Source organism: Homo sapiens, chromosome 4 (genome assembly GCF_000001405.40).
Source record: "Homo sapiens chromosome 4, GRCh38.p14 Primary Assembly".
Taxonomy (NCBI): Eukaryota; Metazoa; Chordata; class Mammalia; order Primates; family Hominidae; genus Homo; species Homo sapiens.
Window position 1 is genome coordinate 128,815,165 of NC_000004.12, and position 25,662 is coordinate 128,840,826.

At 42.2% G+C, this 25,662-nt stretch overlaps 1 protein-coding gene across 15 annotated transcripts in view, besides 7 other annotated features; it reads left to right on the forward strand.

Moving 5' to 3' along the window:
* JADE1 (jade family PHD finger 1) overlaps positions 1-25,662 on the forward strand; it is a 65,525-nt gene that overhangs the window by 5,465 nt on the left and 34,398 nt on the right. For 14 of the 15 annotated variants that reach the window (NM_199320.4, XM_017008626.3, NM_001287437.2 and 11 more), the window contains exon 2: positions 16,569-16,646. In NM_199320.4, the coding sequence (NP_955352.1) occupies positions 16,595-16,646 (52 nt within the window). In that variant the 5' untranslated portion in view covers positions 16,569-16,594. Of the gene's footprint in view, positions 1-1,283; positions 1,300-16,568; positions 16,647-25,662 lie in introns of those variants that run through there. The other variant, XM_047416183.1, reaches the window with a different exon arrangement.
* Positions 3,942-4,121: an enhancer, noted in NCBI's record as "active region_21895". NCBI's record gives its function as "activates an Ori minimal core promoter by ATAC-STARR-seq in GM12878 lymphoblastoid cells {active_cell/tissue: GM12878}" and the evidence as "EXISTENCE:reporter gene assay evidence [ECO:0000049][PMID:35858748]".
* Positions 4,332-4,431: an enhancer, noted in NCBI's record as "active region_21896". NCBI's record gives its function as "activates an Ori minimal core promoter by ATAC-STARR-seq in GM12878 lymphoblastoid cells {active_cell/tissue: GM12878}" and the evidence as "EXISTENCE:reporter gene assay evidence [ECO:0000049][PMID:35858748]".
* Positions 4,452-4,511: an enhancer, noted in NCBI's record as "active region_21897". NCBI's record gives its function as "activates an Ori minimal core promoter by ATAC-STARR-seq in GM12878 lymphoblastoid cells {active_cell/tissue: GM12878}" and the evidence as "EXISTENCE:reporter gene assay evidence [ECO:0000049][PMID:35858748]".
* Positions 11,083-11,132: an enhancer, noted in NCBI's record as "active region_21898". NCBI's record gives its function as "activates an Ori minimal core promoter by ATAC-STARR-seq in GM12878 lymphoblastoid cells {active_cell/tissue: GM12878}" and the evidence as "EXISTENCE:reporter gene assay evidence [ECO:0000049][PMID:35858748]".
* Positions 16,290-16,969: an enhancer, noted in NCBI's record as "OCT4-NANOG-H3K27ac hESC enhancer chr4:129752609-129753288 (GRCh37/hg19 assembly coordinates)". NCBI's record gives its function as "activates a minimal SCP1, AML or CMV promoter by ChIP-STARR-seq in naive and primed H9 embryonic stem cells {active_cell/tissue: H9 hESC(naive and primed)}" and the evidence as "EXISTENCE:reporter gene assay evidence [ECO:0000049][PMID:30033119]".
* Positions 16,970-17,649: an enhancer, noted in NCBI's record as "NANOG-H3K27ac hESC enhancer chr4:129753289-129753968 (GRCh37/hg19 assembly coordinates)". NCBI's record gives its function as "activates a minimal SCP1, AML or CMV promoter by ChIP-STARR-seq in naive H9 embryonic stem cells {active_cell/tissue: H9 hESC(naive)}" and the evidence as "EXISTENCE:reporter gene assay evidence [ECO:0000049][PMID:30033119]".
* Positions 20,601-21,143: an enhancer, noted in NCBI's record as "H3K27ac-H3K4me1 hESC enhancer chr4:129756920-129757462 (GRCh37/hg19 assembly coordinates)". NCBI's record gives its function as "activates a minimal SCP1, AML or CMV promoter by ChIP-STARR-seq in primed H9 embryonic stem cells {active_cell/tissue: H9 hESC(primed)}" and the evidence as "EXISTENCE:reporter gene assay evidence [ECO:0000049][PMID:30033119]".

Here is a 25,662-nt window from a genome sequence, read left to right on the forward strand (position 1 = left end):
GCTCCGCCTCCCTGTAAGCTCCGCCTCGCGGGTTCACGCCATTCTCCTGCCTCAGCCTCCAGAGTAGCTGGGACTACAGGCACCCGCCACCATGCCCAGCTAATTTTTTTGTATTTTTATTAAGACGGGGTTTCACCGTGTTAGCCAGGATGGTCTCGATCTCCTGACCTCGTGATCCGCCCGCCTCAGCCTCCCAAAGTTCTGGGGTTACAGGCGTGAGCCACCGTGCCCGGCAATCTTAAGTAACTTTTTGACAGAATATCTGACACTGAGGAGGCAAGCCTTTGGAAATAAAGTTGCCTGGATTTTAAAAAAGCAGGAAATCCAAATGGTATTTATTGTAATTTGGAAATCTTAAATTTGGAGATCATCTGCTTGCTTGATGTTACTTTCCACAGACTTGTTGGAAAAAGATTTATCAGATGTTTGTGTTTCAGTACTGAGGTGGTTGGAACAGTAAACATCAAGATATCAAATACAGATTACATCCTGTCTCTTTAGGGTTTGGTCAGAGAAGAGGAGGCATAGGAATCTGTCACAGTTCTGCTTGCTGCTTTACTTTCTTGTTTGTGAAGCTCTTCCCTGTCATTTAGTATTATGGGGCACCTGTTACAGCATTACAGTTAATGGTCTGTCAGAATTTGCATTATAAAACTGGTTTTCCTGTGAGGTTTATAAAACAGTTATAGAGGGAAATATGACATATTAGCGAACACACCTTGCTTTTTATTTGGGTTGGCATTAAGAGGTTTAGCTTGATTGTTAAAACGGTGAAAGTTACGTCACGTTTAAACTTATTTCCTCCCTTGTACAAGCCTTTAGAGAATTGGCACCATATTCAACAATACTTTTTTTTTTTTTTTAAACATGAAGGGTGGGTTTGCTTGGAGTTTCTGGTTTCTTAGAAGGTATCAGCAATCTTAAATTAGGAAAGTATTTTAATTCCTGAGACAGGTAAGTTGTTTCCTTAAAAGTCTTAAATCTGTTTTCTCCGTTTTCAAGTCCTTGCAGCACTTTATATGACCATGTATTTACAATCTGGACAATTCTTTTTATGTTTGTGGAATGTAATATCTCAGAAGTTGAGATTTAGTTGAGTCTATTGAGTCTATTGTCCTTTGCCTAGTGTATTTCTCATATGAAAACTTTGGTTTGTGATCATGAGGGTGTATGCATTATTTTTATTTTTTCTTTTTTTGCAGTTCATAGCCCTGATGAAGCAAGTTACTCTGCTCTCCTAATAAATGCAAGAAAATGACCTTGGAGGGCCTTTTTAATTACACATAGAAGTGACAATTTGTAAGTTTAAGGTTGGGTGTCATGGAATAGAATGGAAGAAATTGATGCTAAAAACTTTGGCTATGATGGGGCCTTTCCTAGCCCAGGACTTGAATGATTATTAAGGATCCTTTCCTCACCTCAAAGCACAAACATAAAGATTACCAGACTTGGACTGGAAAGCCTTTATCACTAGGAAAGGGGCCATGTATTTTTACGTTTAATCCCTTAGACCCATAGTGTACGATGTGCACACAGTAAATGTTCAGTGACCAAATTTTGGTTACTCTAAAACGAATTCAGTATTTACTTTTTGCCTTTAGTTCTTCAGGTAGAGGTAGGACATAATGTGATAGAGAGCAGTTGAAGAAAGTTAATTTTTAAAACCTTAGATTTTTTTGGGCTTACTTGTTGAGGGAAGTAAACTACATTTTCTCTCTCTTTTTTTTTTTTTGAGACAAGTTCTTGCTCTGTCACCCAGGGTGGAGTGCAGTGGTGGGATCTCGGCTCACTGCAGTGGGTTCAAGTGAGTCAGCCTCCGGAGTAGCTGGGATCACAGGCGCATGCCGCCGTGTCTGTCTAATTTTTGTATTTTTAGTAGAGACGGGGTTTTACCATGTTGGCCAGGCTGGTCTCAAACTCCTGACCTCAAGTGACCCACCTACCTCGGCCTCCCAAAGTGCTAGATTACAGGTGTGAACCACCATGACTGGCCAGTTTTCTATTACTTTGAAAGCGCTCACAATTGACATCTGTCTCTTTGTATTTTTTGTTAGAGAGATGAGGTTTCACTATGTTGCTCAGGTTGCCCAGGCTAGTCTTGAACTCCAGAGCTGAGTCCTCCCGCCCTGGCTTCCTAACTGCGATTACAAGTGTGCACCTGTGTGGCTGGTGGAAGTAATATTTTAAACTATTGATCATTTAGTGTCTCCTGTGCAGGAGATTTTATTATTTTGAGAATTCATGGCATCTTCCATGAGAGTTTATAAGGACTTACTTTAAGTGAAGATTTCAGTGGTGTGGGTCCACACTGAGGCATAAAATAATCTTTTTGTTTGTTTGTTTCCCACTTAAACCAGGGTAAGGAACAAGAAATAGCAATGTTATTAGCAAGTTGCTTGAGGTTGAACTTCATGGCTTGCTTTAATTTAGCACAAAGTACACTAAATGCAATTTAAATTTTTTATTGATTACTCTTTGTCATAATCTTTACGAGCATCAGTTACTTCCATGTGGAAATGCCATGATGCACTTAACATATAGAGGCTGAGTGTTGGTGGTTGTAACTTTTTAAGTTGGGGACACTTGACACTGAAACCCATGGAAGCTCTCCCCCAGAAAACATGGGTGTTTCCTTAAGCACATCCTTGGATTCTAGTTTAAGTGTTTAAATTCTGGTGACTTCTTTTTATGATTTCTCTGTGATCCTTTTACTGCCACTGTTACCATGTATTGTAGTTAAAATGCCTGTTGAGAACAGTGATTTTTCTGCTTATTGGTCATTAACTTGAAAATCAAATAAGAAGCCTGTTAGAAGTTTTTAAAACTTGTGTACACTGGCTCCAAGTAGGAGCCTCAGGGGTTTTCTTTTGAGAAAAACCCACTGGTTTTACTGTGGCCTTTATTTAAGTTGCTTAGAGGTCTCCTCAATGCCTTCCTTTTGATTATTCTAGTTAGGGACTTCTTTTTTTTTTTTGAGATAGAGTCTTGCTCTGTTATGCAGGATGGAGTGCAGTGGCATGATCTGGGCTCACTGCAACGTCTGTCTCCTGGGTTCAAGCAATTCTCCTGCCTCAGCCTCCCGAGTAGCTGGGATTACAGGCGTGTGCCACCATGCCCTGCTAATTTTTGTATTTTTAGTAGAGACGAGGTTTCACCATGTTGGCCAGGCTGGTCTCGAACTCTTGACCTCAGGTGATGCACCCGCCTCAGCCTCCCCAAGTGGTGGGATTAGAAACGTGAGCCACCATGGCCGGCCATAGTTAGGGACTTCCTAAGGAGTGATTGTGTCTGATCCTTAATTTTGTAAGCTTTCGGTTGCTTGTCCAGCACCTGGTAATTGATTCACATTGAACTAAACACGCATAATGGTGGTTTATAAACATCATACTACTGATCGGTTGATTTATAGGACAGATCAGTTGCCTTTCTCTGTAAAGAGCCAGGTAGTCAATATTTTAGGTTTTGTGGGTCATATGGTCTGTCGCAACTGCTCAAGTCTGCAGTTGTGCCAGAGCAACCATGGGCAAAATGAATGTGAAAGTGATATTTATGGATATAGAAATGTAAAATTTTTATGAATTTTGTATGTCATGAAATGTTCTTTGGCCCTCTACCCTCAACCATTTCAATATGTGAAAATCACTCTTAGCTCAAAAACCATACAGAAACAGGCTGTTGACCCCTGATTGGTTGATTGATTGATTTGAGACAGGGTCTCACCCTGTTGTCCAGGCTGGAGTGCAGTGGTGTAAATTCCAGGGCTCACTTGATCCTCCCATCTCAGCCTCCCCAGTAGCTGGGACTGCAGGCATCCCACACCAGGCCTGGCTAGTTTTTTGTATTTTTTGTAGAGATGGGGTTTGCTATGTTTCTTTGTTCTCGAACTCCTGAGCTCAAAGGTTCTGCCCACTTTGGCCATCACTCCCTGGCCTCCCCAGATTTATAGTAAGACACAGCAGCTACTTGATTGTTTCTGCTGGTGGCTGAGCTCCCTTCTAGGAACCTGAAAATGCAAGTTGAAATTAGAAGTTTGTTTGGAGGTAGTTGGCTACGCTGAGGGCTGTGGGTTGTTTTTGTTTCGCTCTTTTTGCCCAGGCTGGAGTGCAATGGTGGTTTTTTTTTTGGGGGGCAGGCTCTCTCTGCTGCTCAGGCAGTAGTGCAGTGGCACGATCACGGCTCAGCAACCTTCTGGTCTCAGGCAGTTCTCCTGCCTTAGCTTCTGGAGTAGCTGGGATTCTGATCCTAGATCCCTTTTGAGGATAAAATGTGTAAGAACAAATACCTTGGTCATCTCTCACACCCTCCGGGGGGGTCAAGCTAAGAAGACCTGTGTAAGAGGATATGTATTATAAGATTGTGTTCCACTACAGAGGGAGATAATGTCAAGTAGGGTGTATGTGTCACAGCAATCAGAAGTTAATGCCTACCACTCCGGGAGAACTCATACTCCTGTGGTAGTGTTTAAGGAACTGCTGACACATTCTTCCAGCTTTACCTTTTGTGTGCTTCACTATGCAAAATGAATGGCATTTGTGACCATCTTGCCATGAATCTGTGTTTCAGTTTTCAAGTTAACAGACTGTTGTTCATTGATTACATTTTCAGTTTTTGCTCTCTGATAACGTATCATGGCCTTAGTCATTCACATGACCTCTTTTTAAATCCCAGTGTACATCCAGGAGGAAGAAGCCCATAGTCCAGGAATCTGGGAGGAGGTGGCTGGCACAGGAGGAGAGTGCCCCTCCACCCACCTGGGGAACTGGTCTTTGGTTCTTCCACTGCCTTTGCACTAGATCTACTTATGTGTGTTTGTGCAAGTTGATAAACATGCAGAAATCCATGTACTCCTCTTTAAAAGTAGGAAAGGTGGATTAAATTATTTTAAATTGTTTTTGAAATCCTCTCTAGCTCTGCAGTTAATTATGATTTTATGGGTTTCTTTTGGGAAGATTTCTTTTTTTTTTTGAGATGGAGTCTTGCTTTGTCACCCAGGTTGGAGTGCAGTGGCATGATCTTGGCTCACTGCAACCTCCATCTCCTGGGTTCATGCAATTCTCCTGCTTCAGCCTCCCAAGTAGCTGGGATTACAGGCATGTGCCACCATGCCTGGCTAATTTTTGTATTTTTGGTAGAGGCAGGGTTTCACCATATTGGTCAGGCTGGTCTTGAACTCCTGACCTCAAGTGATCCACCCACCTCACCCTCCCAAAGTGCTGGGATTACAGGCGTGAGCCACCACGCCTGGCTTTCTTTTGGGAAGATTTCTTCTAGACACAATCTGTGTTGTGAGACTTGTAGGCAGAGTCTACGTTGTGAGACTGAGACTTCAGCCTCAGAGAGTGCTTTCTAGACCTTGCTTCTAGGTTTGAGACCAACTTAGGTTTCCATGATCATAATAACGAGGCTTGTACAATTGTGATGAAACGTTTGTTTTCATATGTAACTTGGATGATTGTGTAAATGTTGTTTTTGTCAAGTGTGTCATCTAGGTTTTCAAATATACAACATTGGGAGTCTCTCTCTTTTTTTTTTTTAAAACAGTACTTTAAAAATTTTTGGTGACTTAACATTGTTAGTGGTAACGGATAGTTTCTGACAACCGGGTATAATCAAGGAACAAAGTTCCTGAAAAACAGCTGCATTTCAATCTGTGCACAGTGTAATTGTCATTAGCTGGTGGAGTCTGGTTTCTGCAGAAGCTGATTTGTATATCCTGTATAAGAACATCTGGTTTGAGCATTTAAAAATCTTTTAAAATTACCCTGTAGACATTTAGCATTTATTGGCTTACTCCACCAAGGATGGAATAATGGGTTGTAGAATCCTTTCTCATGCTTATTCTTACCTTCGTTCATTCAGAAGCACTTGGTTTTCCTAAAGTGTCTAATGAGCTTTTAGAGTTTGATATGAAGTGTGTAGGTTTGTATTATAGAAATTAGTACCTGGTTCAGAGACCCCCAAGGCAGAATGGAACACAAACTCCTGATTTCAGTGAAATGCTTTAAAAAATAAACATTTCATTTTTGTATATTCTGAAGAGATTAATCTGACCCTAGCTTTCCCTGATAAATTGTCAGAAAACTGAGACGCGGAATAAGACATATAGGGCAAATGGGCTTTATCTCTCTTGGTGATAGCACTGTGTTAAGGAGGATTCTGAAGATATGTGCCTGGGGGTGTGGAAAAGAATGACCTAATTTGTCAACCATGCCTTGCCATAGGTGGAAGGAATGGCATAATTGCCAGCTACCTCTTGAACATAGCCTTTTTAAATTTTTTCCAAAGTAGTACTACTGTGATAATGGATAAGGAGTTGAAATGGCTTCTTCTTTTTTTTTTTTTTTTTTGAGAGGGAATCTCACTCTTTTTGCCCAGGCTGGAGTACAGTGGCACGATCTCGGCTTACTGCAACCTCCGCCTCCTGGGTTCAAGCGATTCTCCTGCCTCAGCCTCCCGAGTAGAGTAGCTGCTAGGTTTGAGACCACCAACCTGATTACAGGTGCCTGCCACCATGCCTGGCTAATTTTTGTATTTTTAGTAGAGACTGGGTTTCGCCATGTTGGCCAGGCTGGTCTCGAGCTCCTGACCTCAGGTAATCTGGCCCGCCTCGGCCTCCCAAAGTGCTGGGATTACAGGCATGAGCCACCATGCCCAGCCTGTGTATAGTTTAAACCCTAATTTTCTTGTCTGGGTTAGTTTTTTTCTATTATTATTGCATATATTTTAAGTGACCTCCTTCTAATGTTGGCTGTTTTTACCTGTTTCAAAAACTTAAGCTTTTGAAGTATGTGATGACCTAATCAAGCAAATAGGGGATAATAGCATTTTATGGCATTATTACCTTTTCTCTTTTTTTTCTTCTGCACCTTTGCATCAGATATTCTTTTAAAGCAAGACAATTCTTTGATACTGCATCTCAGGAAAGAGGTGGCATATACATAGTTTATTGATGGTTGCTCGTTAGTTATAGGCTGGTGCTTTGCACTGGGGCAAGAAGTTGTGCTTCCAGGTCTTTTATATAGTGAAGAGCAGGGAAGAAATAAATCTTTACTACTGGCCGGGTGTGGTGGTGTGCGCCTCTAGTCCCAGTTACTTGGGAAGCTGAGGCAGGAGAATCGCTTGAATCCGGGAGGCGGAGTTTGCACTTAGCAGAGATCACGCTCCTGCACTCCAGTCTGGGTGACAGAGCAAGACTCTGTCTCTCAAAAAAAAGTATCTTTACTATTATAAGTGTAGTACACAATCATCGTAAAAAGTTAAAATCATGGCCAGGTGCAGTGGCTCATGCCTGTAATCCCAGCACTTTGGGAGGCCGAGGCGGGTGGATCACCTGAGGTCAGAGTTCGAGACCAGCCTGACCAACATGGAGAAACCCCGTCTCTAGTGAAAAAAAAAAAATACAAAATTAGCCGGGCGTGGTGGCACATGCCTGTAATCCCAGCTACTAGGGAGGCTGAAGCAGGAGAATCGCTTGAACCTGGGAGGCGGAGGTTGCGGTGAGCCGAGATCACACCATTGCACTCCAGCCTGGGCAACAAGAGTGAAACTCCGTCTCAAGAAAAAAAAAAAAGTTAAAATCATATTAAAGGTCATAAAGAGGAGGAAAAGTTCCCAACTCAGTCTGTCTTGGAACCCTTTGGTCACATTTCTCAGAGATGACCACTATGAACATTTATATTCTTTCAGAAATGTTCTATGAATATACAAGCAATTGCTGTAGGTATTTTCTCTCCTCCTATTATATATAAATGCTCTTATATTTTGGGTTTTTTCCCTGCAGTTAGCCTGTTTTTCTCCCCTAATATGTCTTGGGCATCTTTCCACATCTGAGCATTTAGATCTAACAGAAAAGAATTCTGAGTAGATGGAAATAAGGATAAAAGCTCAAGATTGGAGACCATGGTGACTGACTGCCTTTTTTGTTTGGTTGTGAATTCATTTACTCCCATGTCAAGGGAAGTTAAAAAAATACATTCCAAGTACAAATGATTGGAATGTTTTGTCATAGCTGCTCTTATTCAGTTGCTGACTCTTAATTGAGTCAGCAATTACAGAGTCCTGGAAGGGGTTTAATAGATTGCCTTAGAGCTCATAAGCAGTGATTGGATTATTTATACATTGGCAAATGAGAGCTGCTTGTGATTCATTCAGAACCACTCAAATTTAAAATTCCTTAAAGTCTTGAGAAATGCTTTCTTGGTTTTTAAATCTGAGTTCAAAAATAACTTATAAAGAATTTAAAGTGAACTAATGTATTATAGTACATGGGCTTTATGAGTAATGCTCCTAAGAGTAAATATTATAGTTATTTATTATGTGGTCAGTTATCATAATTTTTTTTCTTTTGGAGGAGGTGGCTATTGCTAATGTAAACTTGTCAGCTGAATATTTGTAAGTTTTACCTCCTTCCAGAGGTTCTGTATTAGCTTGGGCCAGCATTTTCCTTAAATAAGTTTTGATGTATGACGTTATAAAGAGCACATTTTTTTGCTTGAGATATTTAGACAAGATTAAAACATTAACGCTTAAGAGTTAAGCTATTTGTCAGTTAAATGTATGACTTTATTTTTGACTAGATATAACCCTTTAGTTAAATTGAGAATCTGTGTTTGAGTTATAGTCATAGTAGCATTTTTAGATTCTGTGAGCATATGAATTAGATAATGTTGCCAGTTGGAAAACTTCATATTTAAGCGATTAATGTTTACTTTAAAAACTGAGGTAAGAAACCAGCTGGGTTTCCTTCACATTCATTTAGGGGCAGGTGGACAGATTTTATTGTGAAGTTATAGGTCATTATATTTGGGTATTTAGAACTGTATATTCCATAGAAGACAAAAGTGACCAATTATTAAGAATATAATGTATCTTTTTGGGGGAGTATTCTATGTTCAGTAATTTAGGAATCAAATTATCAGGTACCTAGTGTTTAAAAAATAATTTGAACTATGTGAACTTAAACAGAAAGGAGTGGCAGGGCGCGGTGGCTCACGCCTGTAATCCCAGCACTTTGGGAGGCCGAGGCGGGCGGATCATGAGGTCAGGAGATCGAGACCATCCTGGCTAACACGGTGAAACCCCGTCTCTACTAAAATTACAAAAAAATATATATATATATTAGCTGGGCGTGTTGGCAGGCGCCTGTAGTCCCAGGCTGAGGCAGGAGAATAGCGTGAACCCGGGAGGCGGAGCTTGCAGTGAGCTGAGTGAGCCATTGCACTCCAGCCTAGGTGACAGAGCGAGACTCCAACTCAAAAAAAATAAAATAAAAGAGAAAGGAGTAGCTCATAAAATACTTAGTTTTATATAAGACCACCTGGTTTCTGAAAATACATTCTTTAGTACCTTTAGGTATTAGATTTTAGCTATTTGACAGAATGGAAGGGCATCAATAAATTTAAAAGTGAATACAGGAGAAGTTATTCCAGTTAAAGGTCAATTAGATATTAAAGTAAAAGCATCTCAAATTCAATAAAGTGGAGTGAACATAAGGTAACAGTACGGGAACTAAGGCATTCATCCAGTAGGTTATTTTAATACATAGTATTGCATTGGGTGATATATAAAAGTATGTAGCGGTCTTTAATTGAGTACCTTCTAGAACTTCTTGAGTGAAATAAATAAAAATGGAAACAGTAGATAAAACTGATACTTTGAGAGAGAAACCAGCCTTTCTGCATATGAGCCATAAGACAAAATCACTAGGTTGTAATCCTTATTATAGCTATAGAGTTTATGGCCTGATAAATGGGCCCTGTTCCACCACAGAGAGTAAGTAATTCTAGTAACTGGACAGTTTGTTTTCCTCAAATCAGTCCTTGTTTCCCAGGAATAGCATTGAATAAACATCCTCAAATTCTTAGTTACCTTTCCCTTTTTTTGTTTCTTTTTTCGAGACAGAGTCTTGCTATATTGCCCGGGCTGGGGTGCAGTGGTATGATCTTGACTCACTGCAACCTCTGCCTCCCGGGTTCAAGCGATTCTCCTGCCTTAGCCTCTCAAGTAGCTGGAACAACAGGAATACACCACCAAACCTGGTTAACTTTTTGTGTTTTTAGTAGAGACGGGGTTTCGCCATGTTGCTAGGCTGGTCTTAAACTCCTGGCCTCAAGTGATATGCCTGCCTCGGCCTCCCCAAGTGCCTGGATTACAGGCGTGAGCCACTGTGCCCAGCCCTCTTATTCTTTTGTAAAAGTCCTTCTCTCCTTGTCCATGACGTTCTCATTCTTTCTTAGAATCATCACATCAGTCATGACCACGCCCAGGTCACTGAACTTGTTCGCTCAAATTCCTGAGCCACCCTAGGGATGGGTTCCTTCACATAGTGGCTCCTCTGAATCTATTGCATGCAGATTTTTCCCAGTTTCAGTCAGAGGAATGTAAATTTCAAGGTTTTCAGGTGCCTTGCTATCTCATGTGCATGTAAGCAGTAATCTGGTGACTTTTATAGCACTTACCACACTGAAGCCACTTGTCTAGTTATTTGATGTTTCCTCCAGGTAGACTGTGTGCTCCTGCAGTGCAGACATTCCATATCTTGTTCACCGTATCTCTGACGTCTACCTTGATAAAATTTTCCTCAAATTATTATGTTAGCTAATGTACTGCATTTTAACCCACATGACAGAAGGGATCCAAGGAGAGAGTAATCTGCATATAATCTAAATAGGGGTTTGGGCCAGTGGGTAAAGCCTGTGTTTGCATTTCCTGAGGAGATGGTTCTCCGGCAGCTGCCACAGATGCTCAGTTGTCTTGGTGCATCTCTTCGTGCAGTGAGTGGAGTAGAGACACCAGAGGATTGTTAAGTAACTGGTCCAGCCAGGGTCTTTGGCCAGTGGCCTTTCCAGGCAGTGTTCTGTTTTTAATTTAACTTCCTAGGTAGTCTTCCTCTTTTTGGGCAAACTCCCAAATGCCCACTAACTAGCTCTTTTGTCTCTGTAGCTATTATGTTTCTCGTGGCAAGTGGACACTCCAGGCTCCGATAAGCTGGATAACTTTGCATCAGTTTTGAGGAAATGTAAACAGAATGTCAGGGTGAGCCGTGTCGACTGGATCCAGAGTTCTGAGGGCATCTATTGTAGCCACGCTGAGAGGCCTTGTTTCTGACCAGTCTGAGTTGGATTCAATCTCTGTCCCGTACTGCAAGGTCCCATTGCAGTGTTCCCTATACCTACCATCATGGTCCCCCTTCTCTGTTATGTCTTTTTTTTTGAAACAGAGTTTACTCTTGTCACCCAGGCTGGAGTGCAGTGGCACACGCTCAGCTCACTGCAACCTCCACCTCCTGGGTTCAAGTGATTTTCCTGCCTCAGCCTCCTGAGTAGCTGGGACTACAGGCATGCATCACCACGCCTGGCTAATTTTTGTGTTTTTTTTTTTTTTTTCAGTAGAGACGGGGTTTTCCCATGTTGGCCAGGCTTGTCTCGAACTCCAGGCTTCACATAGTGGCTCCTCTCTATCTATTGCATGCAGATAATATGCCTGCCTCGGCCTCCCAAAGTGCTGAGATTACAGGCATGAGCCACTGCACCTGGCCCTATGTTATGTTTATTTCATATTTGACTTGAGAGAATCTGTTCTCCAGAAATTACTGTAATCTTTAGAGACACACACATGAAACATTTAAGTCATGATGCAAGGCAGTAGTTGATTGAATACTGACAAAGACTCCTTTGACCAAAACTTTAGTCACGCTCCTCCGGTCCTCCGCGTGAATGGGCACTACCTTGGGCTTCTCTTTGTATTATTGTTGAATCCAGTTGAAGCAAAAATCCTGTTAAAATCAGTTTAGGGAAAATTCTTCACCTGGGTATCTGACCACTCTGTCCTATCTTATCCTGGCCTGTCTTCAAGAATAATCCTATCAAATTAGCCATAAACCCCTTATCCTTGATATTTCTGTTTAGTAGTCAGTCTCCTATCCACCGGCCCCACCCTCCTCCTTGGTTATAAATCTCCACCTCTTTTGGAATCTGAGTTGGGTTCAATCTCCATCCCCCTCTGCAAGATCCCATTGCAGTGTTCCCTGTACCTACCACCATGGTCCCCCTTGAGTAAAATCTGCTTTACCATTTCTAACAAGTGTCATGAGGAATTTTTTTCAGTGATACTATTAAGGTAACAGTGCATTGAAAAGCAAGGTGAAAAAGTTCTAAAAGAGGAAGAAAGTTGAACTGAGCAGTACAGAATATAAGTGTTTGGAGTTGGAGTGGTCAGTGGCTTTGAGCTGAGCCCCAGAAAAGTGGTGGGATTAGGATAGGGAGCAAGGAGCAACAGGAGCAGCATTAGCAGAGAATGAGAACTGAAAGTAAGCAGAGTGTTCAGGGAAGAAGCCTGGCCCAACCAATGCAAGCTCTGGGTTTTGGGGCTTGCTAGAACAGATGCCTGAGTAAAGCTGTGAGAAGTCAGAAAACTTCATTTTTGGCTGGACACTTTGGACTTAGACCTATTTGTAATGTGGAATGGAGGGAGAGATCTGCATATAGTATTTTGATGAGGTTGCCTCATGGGGTGTAGTTAATTTGTTGTTTTAATAATTGGAAGTGGGAAGAGATCATAGTTTGGAGAATAGGTGTTTAAAGCTTTCTAGGTACAAGTAGTTGAAGGGCAAACCCACAGGGCATATGGGGACTTCAGAGAGTCATAACATTATGAATCAGTAAACCTTGGCAATTGGCTATAAGGTGAGAATGGATGTGTATGAAGATGCTACCCAGAGTAATATGCTGTGTTACACATATGTTGGTAAGTACGGTGCTCTGCCCCAAACATGCCCCTTTTTCTGGCTACCTCCTCTTTGTTCTTCAGGACTCAGCTCAGTCTTACCAGCCTCCTCTGACTCTTATCCACCTTTTGTATTCCTGTAGAACTCCGCATTTACCACTGTCAGGCACAAACAGTAGTGAATTTCCGTTGTTTTCCTGTCTGCCCAACTAGGCCAGAAGCTCTGTGAGGTCAGGGTTAGTAATTTTCATCCAGCACCTCCTAATATATGAGATATTCAAATGTTTGTCGGCTGCATTATGTGCCATTATATCTTCTTGCTACTTTGGGGTGTTGTGAGTAGCCATTTTAATTGATTATTACTTATCCTACTACTGTCTAGATTAGTAATTAGCCATTGCCCTGAGAGTCAGGAAAGGTGATGATGCAGATGCTGGCTTTTAGTGGGGCAGATGTTTGCAGCATACAACCACTGTATTGTGTAGCTGAAAGATAGTAACATGTATTTTGATTTTCTGATACAGTAAGTCATCCTGGGTGAGATAAATCAGCTTGATGTCAAGGTTTAAGTACTTTAGAGCCACAGAGGAGGAAATTCTGCTGAGCACTAACCCCCATACTGTGCCAAGTTCCCTGGAGAAGCAAATACAGCACTCTCAAACCCTCATTACTCAAGATCTTCAGCGGATGAAAATGGATTTCATTAGAAAGAAAATACTATTTTTACTCTTCTTTTACTTGAATAATTTTGCTTAAGAGAGTATTTATGTGTGTTTAGGTGCATCATTGTATTTTGGCCAATGCTTGCGTTCTTTATTTAGTGACTGTTGAAGTGCTTCCTCAGGGAGTTGTGTTTGAAAGCTGGAAAGTAAGCATTTTGATTCAAAAAGATTCTTAAAAGCTACTCTGTTAGGTGAATCTAATTTTTAAATTTTTTTATAGAGATAGGGGTCTCCCTGTGTTGCCCACTCCGGTCTCAACTCCTAGGTTCAAGCAGTCCTCCTGCCCTGGCGTCCCAAAGTTCTAGGATTACACATGTGAGCCACCGCGACCAGCCTAGTACTAATTTTTTTTAGCACTCTTTTGTAATGTTGGCTTTGGGGAGCTGAAGCTGTTAGGAGTGAGTGGTCTTCTGCCTTTCCCTTTTCCCTTTTACCTCTTGCTGGATCCTGAGGGGACCCAGAGGTGCATTCTCTAGAAGGTTGGAGAGCTTACCTGTCTGCAGTTGGTGTTTTTGGCACACACAGGGCAGAGAAAACAGTTGAATAGGGAGTGGACCACTGGTGTTTCTTGGTTATGGAACCTGAGGGCTGGAGTGGGCTTACCCCAGGCCAAGTTGCAGATTGCCTGGTTATGGGTGAGTGGGGCTTTTGGAAAAGGGATGGAGTGGGTTTTAGGACTTGACTATGCCTACAGCATGAAACCCCAGCTTGTAAAGCGTGTCCATAATATAGCTCATGACCCATACTGATCAGGACTTATGTTCAGCCTTTCTCTTGGTACATCATTTTAATGGCTTTTGAAGAATCAATTGATAAACAAAAACTTTAACTGGGTGAGTTTCTCAGGAAGAAAATATAAAATATTGCAATTATAGATTAGGGACCTAAATATTTGGATGAATTGTGTAGATCCATTTTTTAAGTGTAGTATAGGAAAAACTTTTCATCTACTTTTTTAGGTTCAGTTCATGCGAGTCTGAATTAAATGACAAAAGACATTACAGGAGAAAAGGCAAACTTCACTGATGTTGATATTTTTATGTGCCAGATGTGGGTAAAGGGAAGGAGACTTCACCGAAGAGAAAAAACCCAAGAAGAGTTAGACCTGAAGGCTTATATACAATTTTAACAGAGGGTGATAAATTGTGAAGTGACTAGTCAAAGGAAAAGGGAGTTTAGGCTTTTTTGACTGCTCTTTTGTAGGCCTTTTTAGAGTGGAGCTTTGGTTTTTTAAAATTGCTTTCTTGTTCTATCACAGTGGTTCTCCACATTTTTCTTTTTTTTTCAAGACAGAATCTCACTGTGTCACATAGGCTGGAGTGCAGTGGTGTGATCTCCACTCATTCCAACCTCCGCCTCCCGGGTTTAAGTGATTCTCCTGCTTGAGCCTCCTGAGTAGCTGGGATTACAGATGCGCGCCACCACGCACGGCTAATTTTTGTATTTTTAGTAGAGGCAGGGTTTCACCGTGTTGGTCAGGCTGGTCTCGAACTGCTGACCTCGTGATCCTCCCACCTCGGCCTCCCAAAGTGCAGGGATTACAGGTATGAGCCACCACACCCAGCCCGGTTTTCCACATTTTTTTCTCCACACCATTCCTATGTGCCCCACTTCTATTGTTGTGTGTATGTGTGTGTGTGTATGTTGAGACAGGGTCTCTGTCGCCCAGGCTGGAGTGCAGTGGTGTGATCTCGGCTCACTGCAACCTCCGCCTCCTGAGTTCAAGCGATTCTCCTGCCTCAGCCTCCTAAGTAGCTGGGATTACAGACACCTGCCACCACGCCCGGCTAATTTTTATATTTTTAGTAGAGACGGAGTTTCACCATGTTGGCCAGGCTGGTCTCCAACTCCTGACCTCAAGTGATCCTCCCGTCTTTGCTTCCCAAAGTGCTGGGATTACAGGGGTGAGCCACCATGCCCAGCCACATTTGCATTGTTAACACCACATCATACATATTGTGATTCCCAATGAGGAGGAGGTTGGGATGTACTTTTCTGAGAGGGTGGATGGGTAGGTAGGTGATGGACTACCATACTTTTTCTCACTTGAAAAAGCTCCCTTTCATTTTTAGGATTCATTGAACTGACAGACCAGTGCCCTAAAGATGTCAGGTTGATCAGTAATTTTAATTTGGAAAAGCTTTTTGTATTTGTTTAGAGAGCTGCCCTGTGTGAATATAACCGCGAGACCATCTGTATAAGTTCATTACTGGCCATTCCGTCTCAGTTCACTGCCTTCTTACCTAAATGCAGCCTTTCTCATACTTGAGGGTAGTGCTAGAATTCTGTTATCATCAGCTACCTGGGAGGAGTTGGCCAGGTGCGCTGGGTCTTTGTACAAACTGACTTCTTATTTTGGCTGGATTTGGGTCTATTTGTCCTGAAGGGAGCTGAGGTGAAGTGGAGTGGAAATAGTGTTGGATTTGGAATTAGAAGCTCCATTCCCACAACGTGACCTTGGGGAAGTTGCTGCTTAACCTTTCTTGGCTTTAGTTTCCTAATGTGAAAGGGAGGGGTCTGGATCAAAATTGTATAATGTCTGTGGTTCCTTCCTGTTCCCTCTGTGGGGTTAGAGATGGCTGGAGGAGACATTTGCATTCCATTACCCGATTTGTTTTGTTTCTTTCGCCTTTAGGGTTATTTTAGTAAAATTTGCCTGAGAAGCATAATCATGCCCAGTGCAGTGTAAATATTCACACATCCAGGCACAACCCCACCCCACCCCCCACATGTACGCATAAAATATGAATCTGTCTGTAGTGAGGAAGCACAGTACAGTGTTCATTGCTGTGGATTTTTTTCTGCAGTGCTTGCTGCCAGTCAGCTAAAGATTCCTGGAGTAGTTATAGTAATAATGTCACAGGAATATAGAAAGAAACCTGGCATCTTTGGGAGACCTACTGATATGTGACTTCTCCACCCCTCCCCCTCCTTTTTTAACCTGGTTTGTTAATGATTGCACCTAATTATGTATCTTTGGTCTTTTTACTGTTTACAATTCAAATGCTACTTAAAGCCATTTGTTTGCTTTTGTTTGCTGTAAATCCTGGGCTGCCATCTGAAGCACAACTTGATGATTGTGTATTATCATCTTGGGTTAAGTGCTGTCTCATTGCTTTGCAGGCTGCCTGCTGTTTCCCGGGGAGATCATGAAACGAGGTCGCCTTCCCAGCAGCAGTGAGGATTCTGACGACAATGGCAGTAAGTCCTGCTTTGTTGTTCTTGGAGCCTACCAGGGTTTGGGTCGGGGTAAAAACATGATTTTTTAATGTAATGCTTTAAATTGCTGAGGCCCTTTGCATGTCAGGCAGGTCAGAGAAAGCCAAAGCCTGGAGAAACGTACCTGAGTGTGATACTGCAGGTCTGTAACCAGATCTTACTGGGTAAGGTTGACTGCAGGCAAGCATTCCTGAGGCTTCCTATTTGTTATCCTGGGAGGAATAATCCAGTTCCAAGAGTCACTGGTGTGTCTGGTTTTCCTAAACATCATTTATGGTACTTCGCAGTTGCGCTTTATGAAAGGGGAACTTAATCAAAGCCAGGTAATCATTAACTGGTTCAACTCAATACAAGGGGAGGTTGAAGACTGCCTAGTGTGATGTGAAAATTATTAAGTACAGGTTCTTAATAGGTCGAAAGTCCCTGCTCTTCACTTGGTTTTAATGTGACTATATTGAATACTACTGCTGTCTGTATCTCAGCTCTCTGGCAACTTCATATTTTCACAGTGCAGCTGAGAACCAGAAGTTAGTTGGCTTCCAGGCAGTCAAAATAAATATCACACAGTGTCTGTGTATTGAGAAGCTAACAGACTACTCAGAGAAGAGCTCCCCTCAGATAACAGAGGGAAATTTTGTACCTAGCACAGTGCCTGAGCTCTAGCCCGTTAGCTTATGTTTTACATTACAAATTAAACCCAGGACACCTTGAAAGAATGTGTGATGGGAAAGGAGCTGGGCCTGCTTTCAAGGAACTCTGCTTTAGACATATGTAAGAAGAGCTCTGATGTGAAAGTCATCAGGGCAGTAATAGAGATGTCTTTTTGATGCACTGTGGAAACAGATACAGATACAGATTCAGAGGAGGGGAGGGCAGGGAAACCTGCAGAGGAGATGAAAGTTGTATAGATCCTTAAGGATGAAATACTTTTTAGGCAAATAGGGTTATTTTCAGTTTTCTGTGCTCTAAGTTTTCAGCAAGTTAAAAGCTGCACATTAGAAAGCAAGGCTTTGCTGCTGTAGGTGCCACCCTGTTCAGAAGAGGGGACCAGGAATATGAAAAACAGAACTCAATGTGGTATTTCGGTTGGTGTGCTTGGCACAGGCACAGGCACGGGGCTTTTGGGGAGGAGAATTGGCCGTTATGGGAGAGTGTCAGGTGTGAAGGGCTTGCAATGAGGACCTCTAAGGAATTGAGAGTTTTAGGGTTGACTGCTGATGTTGGCAGCAGGAGAGAAGTGAACTAGTTGAGAGAGGGTGTAGGGGCTCCAGAGCGAAAGACCTTTCCTCTTATTTCAGAGAAAGGTATTAAAGGTCTGTTTCCAAGTGCAGGCAGGTAAAGCCACCTGTCCGAGCCTTTGGGATGCCACCTTCTGAACTTCTGAGGCGCTTGTTGTTTCATAACCCTGCCTACCTGTTTTCTAACGTTTATAGTTTTAGGCATTTTACTCCTTGAGGCAAAAACATCATTGGGAATTTCTTCTCTGCCCCTGTGTGGCGCCTATCAAAGTGTCTTTGTGAGTTATAAGTACTCTATAAATGCTCCTTGCTTGAGTACATAATTTTGTCCTACATTAATTAAAAAAAATAGTCTTGCCTGGCCTGGTGGCTCACGCCTGTATTCCCCAGCACTTTGGGAGGCCGAGGTGGGTGGATCACAAGGTCAAGAGATTGAGACCATCCTGGCCAACATGGTGAAACCCCATCTCTACTAAAAATTAGCTGGGCATGATGGTGTGTGCCTGTAGTCCAGCTACTCGGGAGGCTGAGGCAGGAGAATCACTTGAACCCAGGAGACGGAGGTTGCAGTGAGCCGAGATCGTGGCCCCTGTACTCCAGCCTGGCGACAGAGCGAGACTCCGTCTCGAAAAAAAATTCTTGCTTTTAGGGTGAGAATTAGTCAGAAGACTGCTTGGTGAATTACCTCCATATAAAGATAATGCCCAATAAAAGCTTAAGAGCCCTATTTAAATATTTTTCTTGGCATTGAGCATCAGGTGTATGCTCACTCTGTCTGCTCTCGTCACTGCCTCTCTTCTTTGGGAGAGCTGTGTTAGAAAAGTTTCTCCTGGATGTTCTCTCAGATTTAGAGCCTTCTCTTTTCTGGACTAGCATTGTCCCATAGGATGAGAATGTCCTAATCTAGTGCAACTGAGGAACTGAATTTTAAACTTTTACTTAATTTTAATGAATTAAAAAATTTGAAGACACATGTGGCTAGTGTCCACTGTGTTGGACAGTGTAGTTCTGGACCTTGGCTTAGTTTAGTCCCTTTCAGTTGTCCAGAGGGTCTTAGTAGCGCAGAAGGCCTCATATTAGTCAGCTCAGGATGCTACAAAAAAGTACCACAGCCCCCGGTAGTTTAAAGCTACAGAAATTTGTTTTCTCACAGTTCTGGAGACTGGAAGTCCAAGGTACTGGCAGGTGTGGTTTCTTCTGAGGCCTCTCGTGGTTTGCAGATGGACTTCTTCTCACGTGTTCTTACTTGGCCTTTCCTTTGCACAGGCATCGCTGGTGTGCCTCAGTGTGACTAAATTGGATTATGGCCCACCCTAATAGCCTCATTTTAACTCAGTCACCCCTTTCAAGGCCCTGTCTCCAAATATAGTCACATTCTGAGATTGGAGGTTAGGGCTTCAAAGTACGCATTTGGGGATGGGGGTACAATTCAGCCCATAAAAGCCCTAGAAGACCAAATATTTCTTTTTTTTTTTTTTTTTTTTTGAGATGGAGTCTTTGCTCTGTCGCCCAGGCTGGAGTACAGTGGCATGATCTCGGCTCACTGCAAGCTCTGCCTCCTGGGTTCACACCATTCTGCTGCCTCAGCCTCCGAGTAGCTAGGACTACAGGTGTCCGCCACTGCACCCGGCTACTTTTTTGTATTTTTTAGTAGAGACAGGGTTTCATCATGTTAGCCAGGATGGTCTTGATCTCCTGACCTCATGATCTGCCCACCTTCTGCCTCCCAAAGTGCTGGGATTACAGGCGTGAGCCACCACGCCTGGCCAAATATTTCATCTAAAATATATATGTTCAGGATGGGCATGGTGGCTCATGACTGTAATCCTGACACTTAGGGAGGCTGAGCTGGGAGGATTGCTTGAGCCCAGGAATTGGAGACCAGCCTGGGCAACAAAGCGAGAACCCATCTCTATTTTAAAAAAAAAAAAAAATTCCACCTAGAACTCTGGTTAGGAAGGAGGAAGAGAGTGTCCACAGTCCCCACCAAAAGTGTGTCTGTCAACTCACAAGTCTGTACTGGCCTCCGTCAAGAAGCTGGGGATGGAGAATTAAGGTAAATATTTATAGGTTATCAAAGGGTTAGCCTAGGCTAAACATGGAAATCTGGTGGTGGAGGAGAGGAATGATAGTTGCTAGTAGAAGGTTGGCTGTCCTTTTGTCATACAGCTGGTTCAATATAAAGTATATATTGATGCTTTACAGCCATGCTGTCTGTCCACGCTCAATGATTTGATAAGGTGGATGATGGTAGTGGTAAACGCAGAGTTCTCATTAAGAACCCCTGAAATGCCAGGCTTATAAAAAGATGCACATACTCATTGCCATGGAACACACCCCTTTCCATCCCCTCTGAAGGCAGCTGGTTCACAGCCTCTGCCACCAACTCACTCATTTGCACTGGAGCCTTCCTTTTGTATATAACTGGGTGGCCTGCGTCATGGGGTGTGCCTGCTGTCCCTGCTTTCAGGTCCACAAAATGAGCCCTACCTGGGTTAACTGCCCATACTCTGCCTTCCTTCAGCCGGGCCTGTGCATTTGGAAAGTTCTGCTTACAAGAAAGATAGGGTCTATGCAGTGGCCACACCTCAGCCTCTCCAGCCTGCAGGCCTGACAGAATTTTGGCAGCACTTCCCAGCCCAGTGCACACCATGTCCAAGTGAAGGAGAGGCAGCTGCAGACGTCAGCATGGGGCTGCAGCACGAGCCACAGCCATGGCTGGGACTTGCTGGCCTCTGGTCTGGAGCCCTTTGCCTTGTTTTCTGGCCTGGTCCAGAGGAATACCAGTGTGGTATTTACAGTTGGGGACGGACAGGCATTTTCTGTGCCAGGTGCAAGCCCTTATACAGCTGCAGTCATAGTTGAAGCCTTTCTCCAGGTGCCCTGGAGGCCCAGCCCTGCAGTTGGATGGAATAATGTTGGGGTGTTTGCAGGCAGCGTCTGCAGTTGCTGGGCTTCTGGGACTGGGTGGCTCAGCCAGTCTCTGAAGTTACGCATTGCGCCAGAGCATGGCCAAGGGAAACAAGTCCTTAATTTTCTGCTTTCCAGCCCAGGATCCTGTCCTTAGGGATTTGGCACATGTGGGAATAGGGTCCACTAACTACTTTCAGTACAGTTGATCCTTGAACAACTCCCCCTACCCTGCAAATCAAAATTCTTTGTATAACTTTTGACTCCCAAAAATTTAACTAATAATAGCCTACTGTTAACCGGAAGCCTTACTAATAACATAAATCAACATATTTTATATGTCATATGTATTATATACTGTATTTTTACAATAAAGTAAGCTAGAGAAAATATTAACATCATAAAGAAGAGGAAATATATATGTATATATATAAAATATACTATTCATTGAGTGAAAGTAGATAATCATAAAGGTCTTCAACTTCGTCTTCATGTTGAGTAGGTAGAAGAGGAGAAGGAGGAAGAGAAGGCGTGGGTCTTGCTGTCTTAGGGGTGGCAGAGAGAAAATTCTCACGTAAGTGAACTGGGCAGTTAAAACCCGTGTTGTTCAAGAGGCAACTATGTTTCTAAAACCTAAAGGACATACCATGTTATCTTCAGTAAACCTGTAGAGGCTAATTTAAACATCAAGTAACCTTGTTTTTATCAGGAATTATATATTATTGTTTATCTCAGGCAAATAGTAGCTCTGATCAGCACTGTTTTTTTTTTTTTTTTTGAGATGGAGCCTCGCTTTGTTGCCCAGGCTGGAGTACAGTGGCATGATCTCAGCTCATTGCCCGCTCAGCTCACAGCTCACTGCAACCTCCGCCTCCCAGGTTAAAGTGATTTTCCTGCATCAGCCCCCTGAGTATGATCAGCATCTTTATATATATGTAGCAAATGGTGTTTTTGTTGGTTTTGGTTGTTCTTAAACTTTGGTGTCTCTCAAAGGTCCAAAGGGAGATTGGTCTCATTCCTTACTTCACAAAGAATGATAGAAGTGTGCTCATACTGTTAAGATTTTCCTAAAGTTATAGAGCAGGACTTCTTATTCTTGTCTGACTTCCTTAAATTTCAGAGATTTGTTGACTTTCTTTGGGAAGAAGGTCTGGAGCCAGGCTCCATGTGGGCCCTCTCTGGTCTCCCTGTTTCTGCACCTGAGCTAGGGTGGAAGCAGTCTGTCTTCCCACCTATCAGAGCCAGGCTCTGCCCCATCACCTGTGATAAGGAATGGGCAGAAAGGAAGCCAGCTGAAATTGAAAATTAGTAATTTTCCCACTGACTTGTACTTGGACCTCAGCAGAAATGGTGGGTGAGTGTCAAATGTTTGTGTGTCAGTTGGTTGAAGGCCTAAGTGTATTTAAGTATGTTGAAACATTTCTGGGCCAGTTCTTTGAATGTATGTATGATGCCTTTGTTTGTTGGAAGTGGAAGTGAGTTTGGCTGTAGAGCTGGGCTACGCTGGGGTAAAAAACTATGGTAGGTATAGGGTCAGCCTCTGGTCTAAATGACAGTTATATCAGATGCTTGTCTTCTGTCATGCCGCTAAAACAAATAAACAGTAACTAGATTAAATTTCCCTAATTTGAGATGGGAATTAACACAGCATTGCTTTAGTCTAGTACAAGGCTAGCTTGGCTTTTAAGTAACTCATAGATGCGTTTGTCAGGTCTGTGTGCCCTTGCTGTGACACCAGACTGCTGGACTCGATACTTGCCAGTTTTAAGCATCTTACTTTGTTAAGCTGGTTTAACACCCCTAAAGACAGATACCAGCATATTATTTAGTGTCCAGAGCAGTGACTGAGACAGGATGACCGCTGTTTGATCAGTGGCAAGGTTCTTTCATAGTTTGCATTTTGTGGTGCAGCAAACACGAAGACTGCCATTCATTCTAATTTCTGAACCTTTCATGCATGGCACAACATGAGAAGCTTATCACACACCAGCTACCAAATGTGGAAGGTGTGTGCAGTATGTGTTAGATTTACTCTTCAGGTTTTCCTTATTTTAGATCTAGGGCAAGACAGCATGGCTATTTTTAATATTTCAAAGGGGAGTGAGTGTTGGAGATGTCTGTATAATAGGACCTGAAGGAACGTTGTGCCCGGGCAGGGTCCATGCTCATGGTGCTACAAACTCTGTGCCTTTTATAACTTTATATTAACCCAAAGGATTCTGTTTTAATGGAAGTTGGGGATATTAAAAACAAGACAATGTTTTTCCCCACTCAGTCTTTCCCATGTTTAACATGAGGTAATGTAATATAGAATTGTTTTTAACAGTGTATGTCAAGAATTTTAAGTCCTTTAAATTTGTCAGTAAAGTGAACTTAACTTTAGGTAATAATTTTACCTTGTGAATGGCAGTAAAATACTTTTAGACATTATTAGCAGATTTTTAGAGTTCCTAACTCCTTTCCTGAAAGCGAAAAGAAAGTAAAACAAAATTTTACTCGTCATGTGCTTAAATTAGTTTGTCATTAAATATCAGCACTCTGGAAACAAACAAAATGCAAACCAACCCAGTGTAATCTTACCACGCGGTTTTTAACAATAGCAAGCACACTGTTTTTAATAAGTGCGTGATGTTTTGCTGTAGTATAAATCACTGACTCCTGGTCTTTTTAGTATTTAAAATATTCTAATTTCTGGTTTGACCCCACTGTCCCACCCCCAATATTTTCCAGAAAGTGTTTATAAATTTTGTTTTAATTAAAAAGGAGTGTTTTGATTTTAATAATATTCTGGTAGCTTCCTGACCTCCTGGGAATGTCTGGGGAGAGCCTGGCTGTAGGGAGAGGTGTTGGTGTAGCAATGTCAAGACACTCCCTTTGAGTCTCTAGCCTGTGGCCTTCCATGAATGTTTCTGTAGATGTAGGTGCATTCCAAGCAGGAAACAGTGGCTCCACAAATCTATCTTTAAATGTATTATTGCTTTATTTTCCTTGAGCTCAAACGCATGTCTTCTATTAGGTGAAACAGGAGTAAATTCTTAGTGCCTGCCACCTTCAGTTCATGGGTTACAGCAATGGTTACAGCATGATTGACTGTCCTCAACAATGACATTTAAAAAAAAATTATCTACTTTTCAAAGAAATATTGAGAATCTGCTGTGTGCACAGCACTGACTAACTTAGCTATGCTCTATGTTGTAAATTCTGCGTCTTATACCAGTGGCTCTTGATAGATTAACTTTTTGGTACAACAAGAAAATGAGAAGGAATAGATCACCAGCAAATACCTGCTCCTGGAGATGGAAGGCAGAGCAGTTCCCTCGGGTTCACAACCCCCTCCCAGATTCTCACTTGGTTCATCAGCAAAGTCTAGGTTTTATACAGACCACTTGTGTAAAGTAAAATAGAATTTTTTTCCCCTTACTGTTAGTGGATGGTATCTCAGTGATAAATGTTTAATAGCTTTATTGAGAAATAATTGACATACAGTGAGCCTCTGAGCCTCATATATTTAAATTGTGTACTTTGATACGTTTTGACATGTTTATACCCATGAAATCATTGAAATCAAGATAATCCTTCCCTCCCACTTTTCTCTAGTCTTCCACTGATCTACTTTCTGTCACTATAGATTAGTTTGCATTTCTAGAGTTGTATGTAAATGGAATAATACAATATGGACTCTTTTTTTTTTGGTCTGGCTTCTTTCACTCAGGAGAATTACTTCAGCATTTATTCATGTTTGCATGTATCAGTAGCTCATTCCTTTTTATTGCTGGATGGTGTTCCACTGTGATGGTGTTCCACTGTATGGATATACCAGAGTTTTTTCATTCACAGTCTGTTGGTGGATGTTTAGGTTGTTTCTGATTTTTGGCTTTTCTAAATAAGCTGCTAAGAGCATTCCTTATGCCAGTGATAATTTAAATTTAGTTTCTTTACCAGTCTTTCCCTGTCTGCAAAGTGAGTTTAATAGGATTAATTTTGCTTTTCCTTCTTCTGTATTGTATCAACACTAGGTAAATTAAGAGGAAAAGGAACAGACTATTTTTGGGTGGACTAGAGTTTCTCTTGGTTATTACTATTGGATACCAAGTATGTAGCATCTTTGTATATCTGTTTTTAAAAGCAAATGTGGCATAGACAGCAATTTTCAGGATTTATGAAAGCAGTCCTAGGAAAAGTTTTCAAATGAGTGTCATTATTTGGGTTGTGTTCTATGCCAGCAAAGCTGCAAGCTTCCTGGGAACCTTGGAAACTACTTGGGAGGGATCCTGACAGATCCTCAGGAAGAGACAAGAGGGTCAGAAAACCTGAGAATGAATGAATTTGTTGTTTCTGCTTTAACCCTGAAAGTATTTGACTCTGAAGACCCTCTTCTCCCTACTTCATGTTAATTTTTAAAGTATAGCAGTGGAGTGATTCTCTAAATTTCTGGCTTTGTTCCTTATCATTTATAACCTTTTCCATAGTAATTCAAAGCAGAGGAGGACCATCCCTTTTTGTTCTGCTTCTCTTCCCTTCCCCAGACCTTCTGATAATTCCATCCAGACACTGCGTGTGCTTTTCCTCGTCTCTTCTTTCAGGCTGTGGACCGGCTGGAGGATGGCCTCCAGGACAAGAGGGAGAAAGAGAGGCCTCTTTATAGACCCTAGGAGCCACCCAGCCACCTTCATCTCCAGGTTCCTAACTTGGCGTCTGTCTTCCTTTTTTCCAGTAATGACCAGATTTAGAACTTCTGCAGGTTGGGCTCACCCCAGTGTGCCCAGAATATTTCTTTCAGTGTGGGAGTGAAATATTCTTGTTCATTTAGAGTCTAAAGAGGCACACTTAGTATTTTTTTAAAGAAGAAT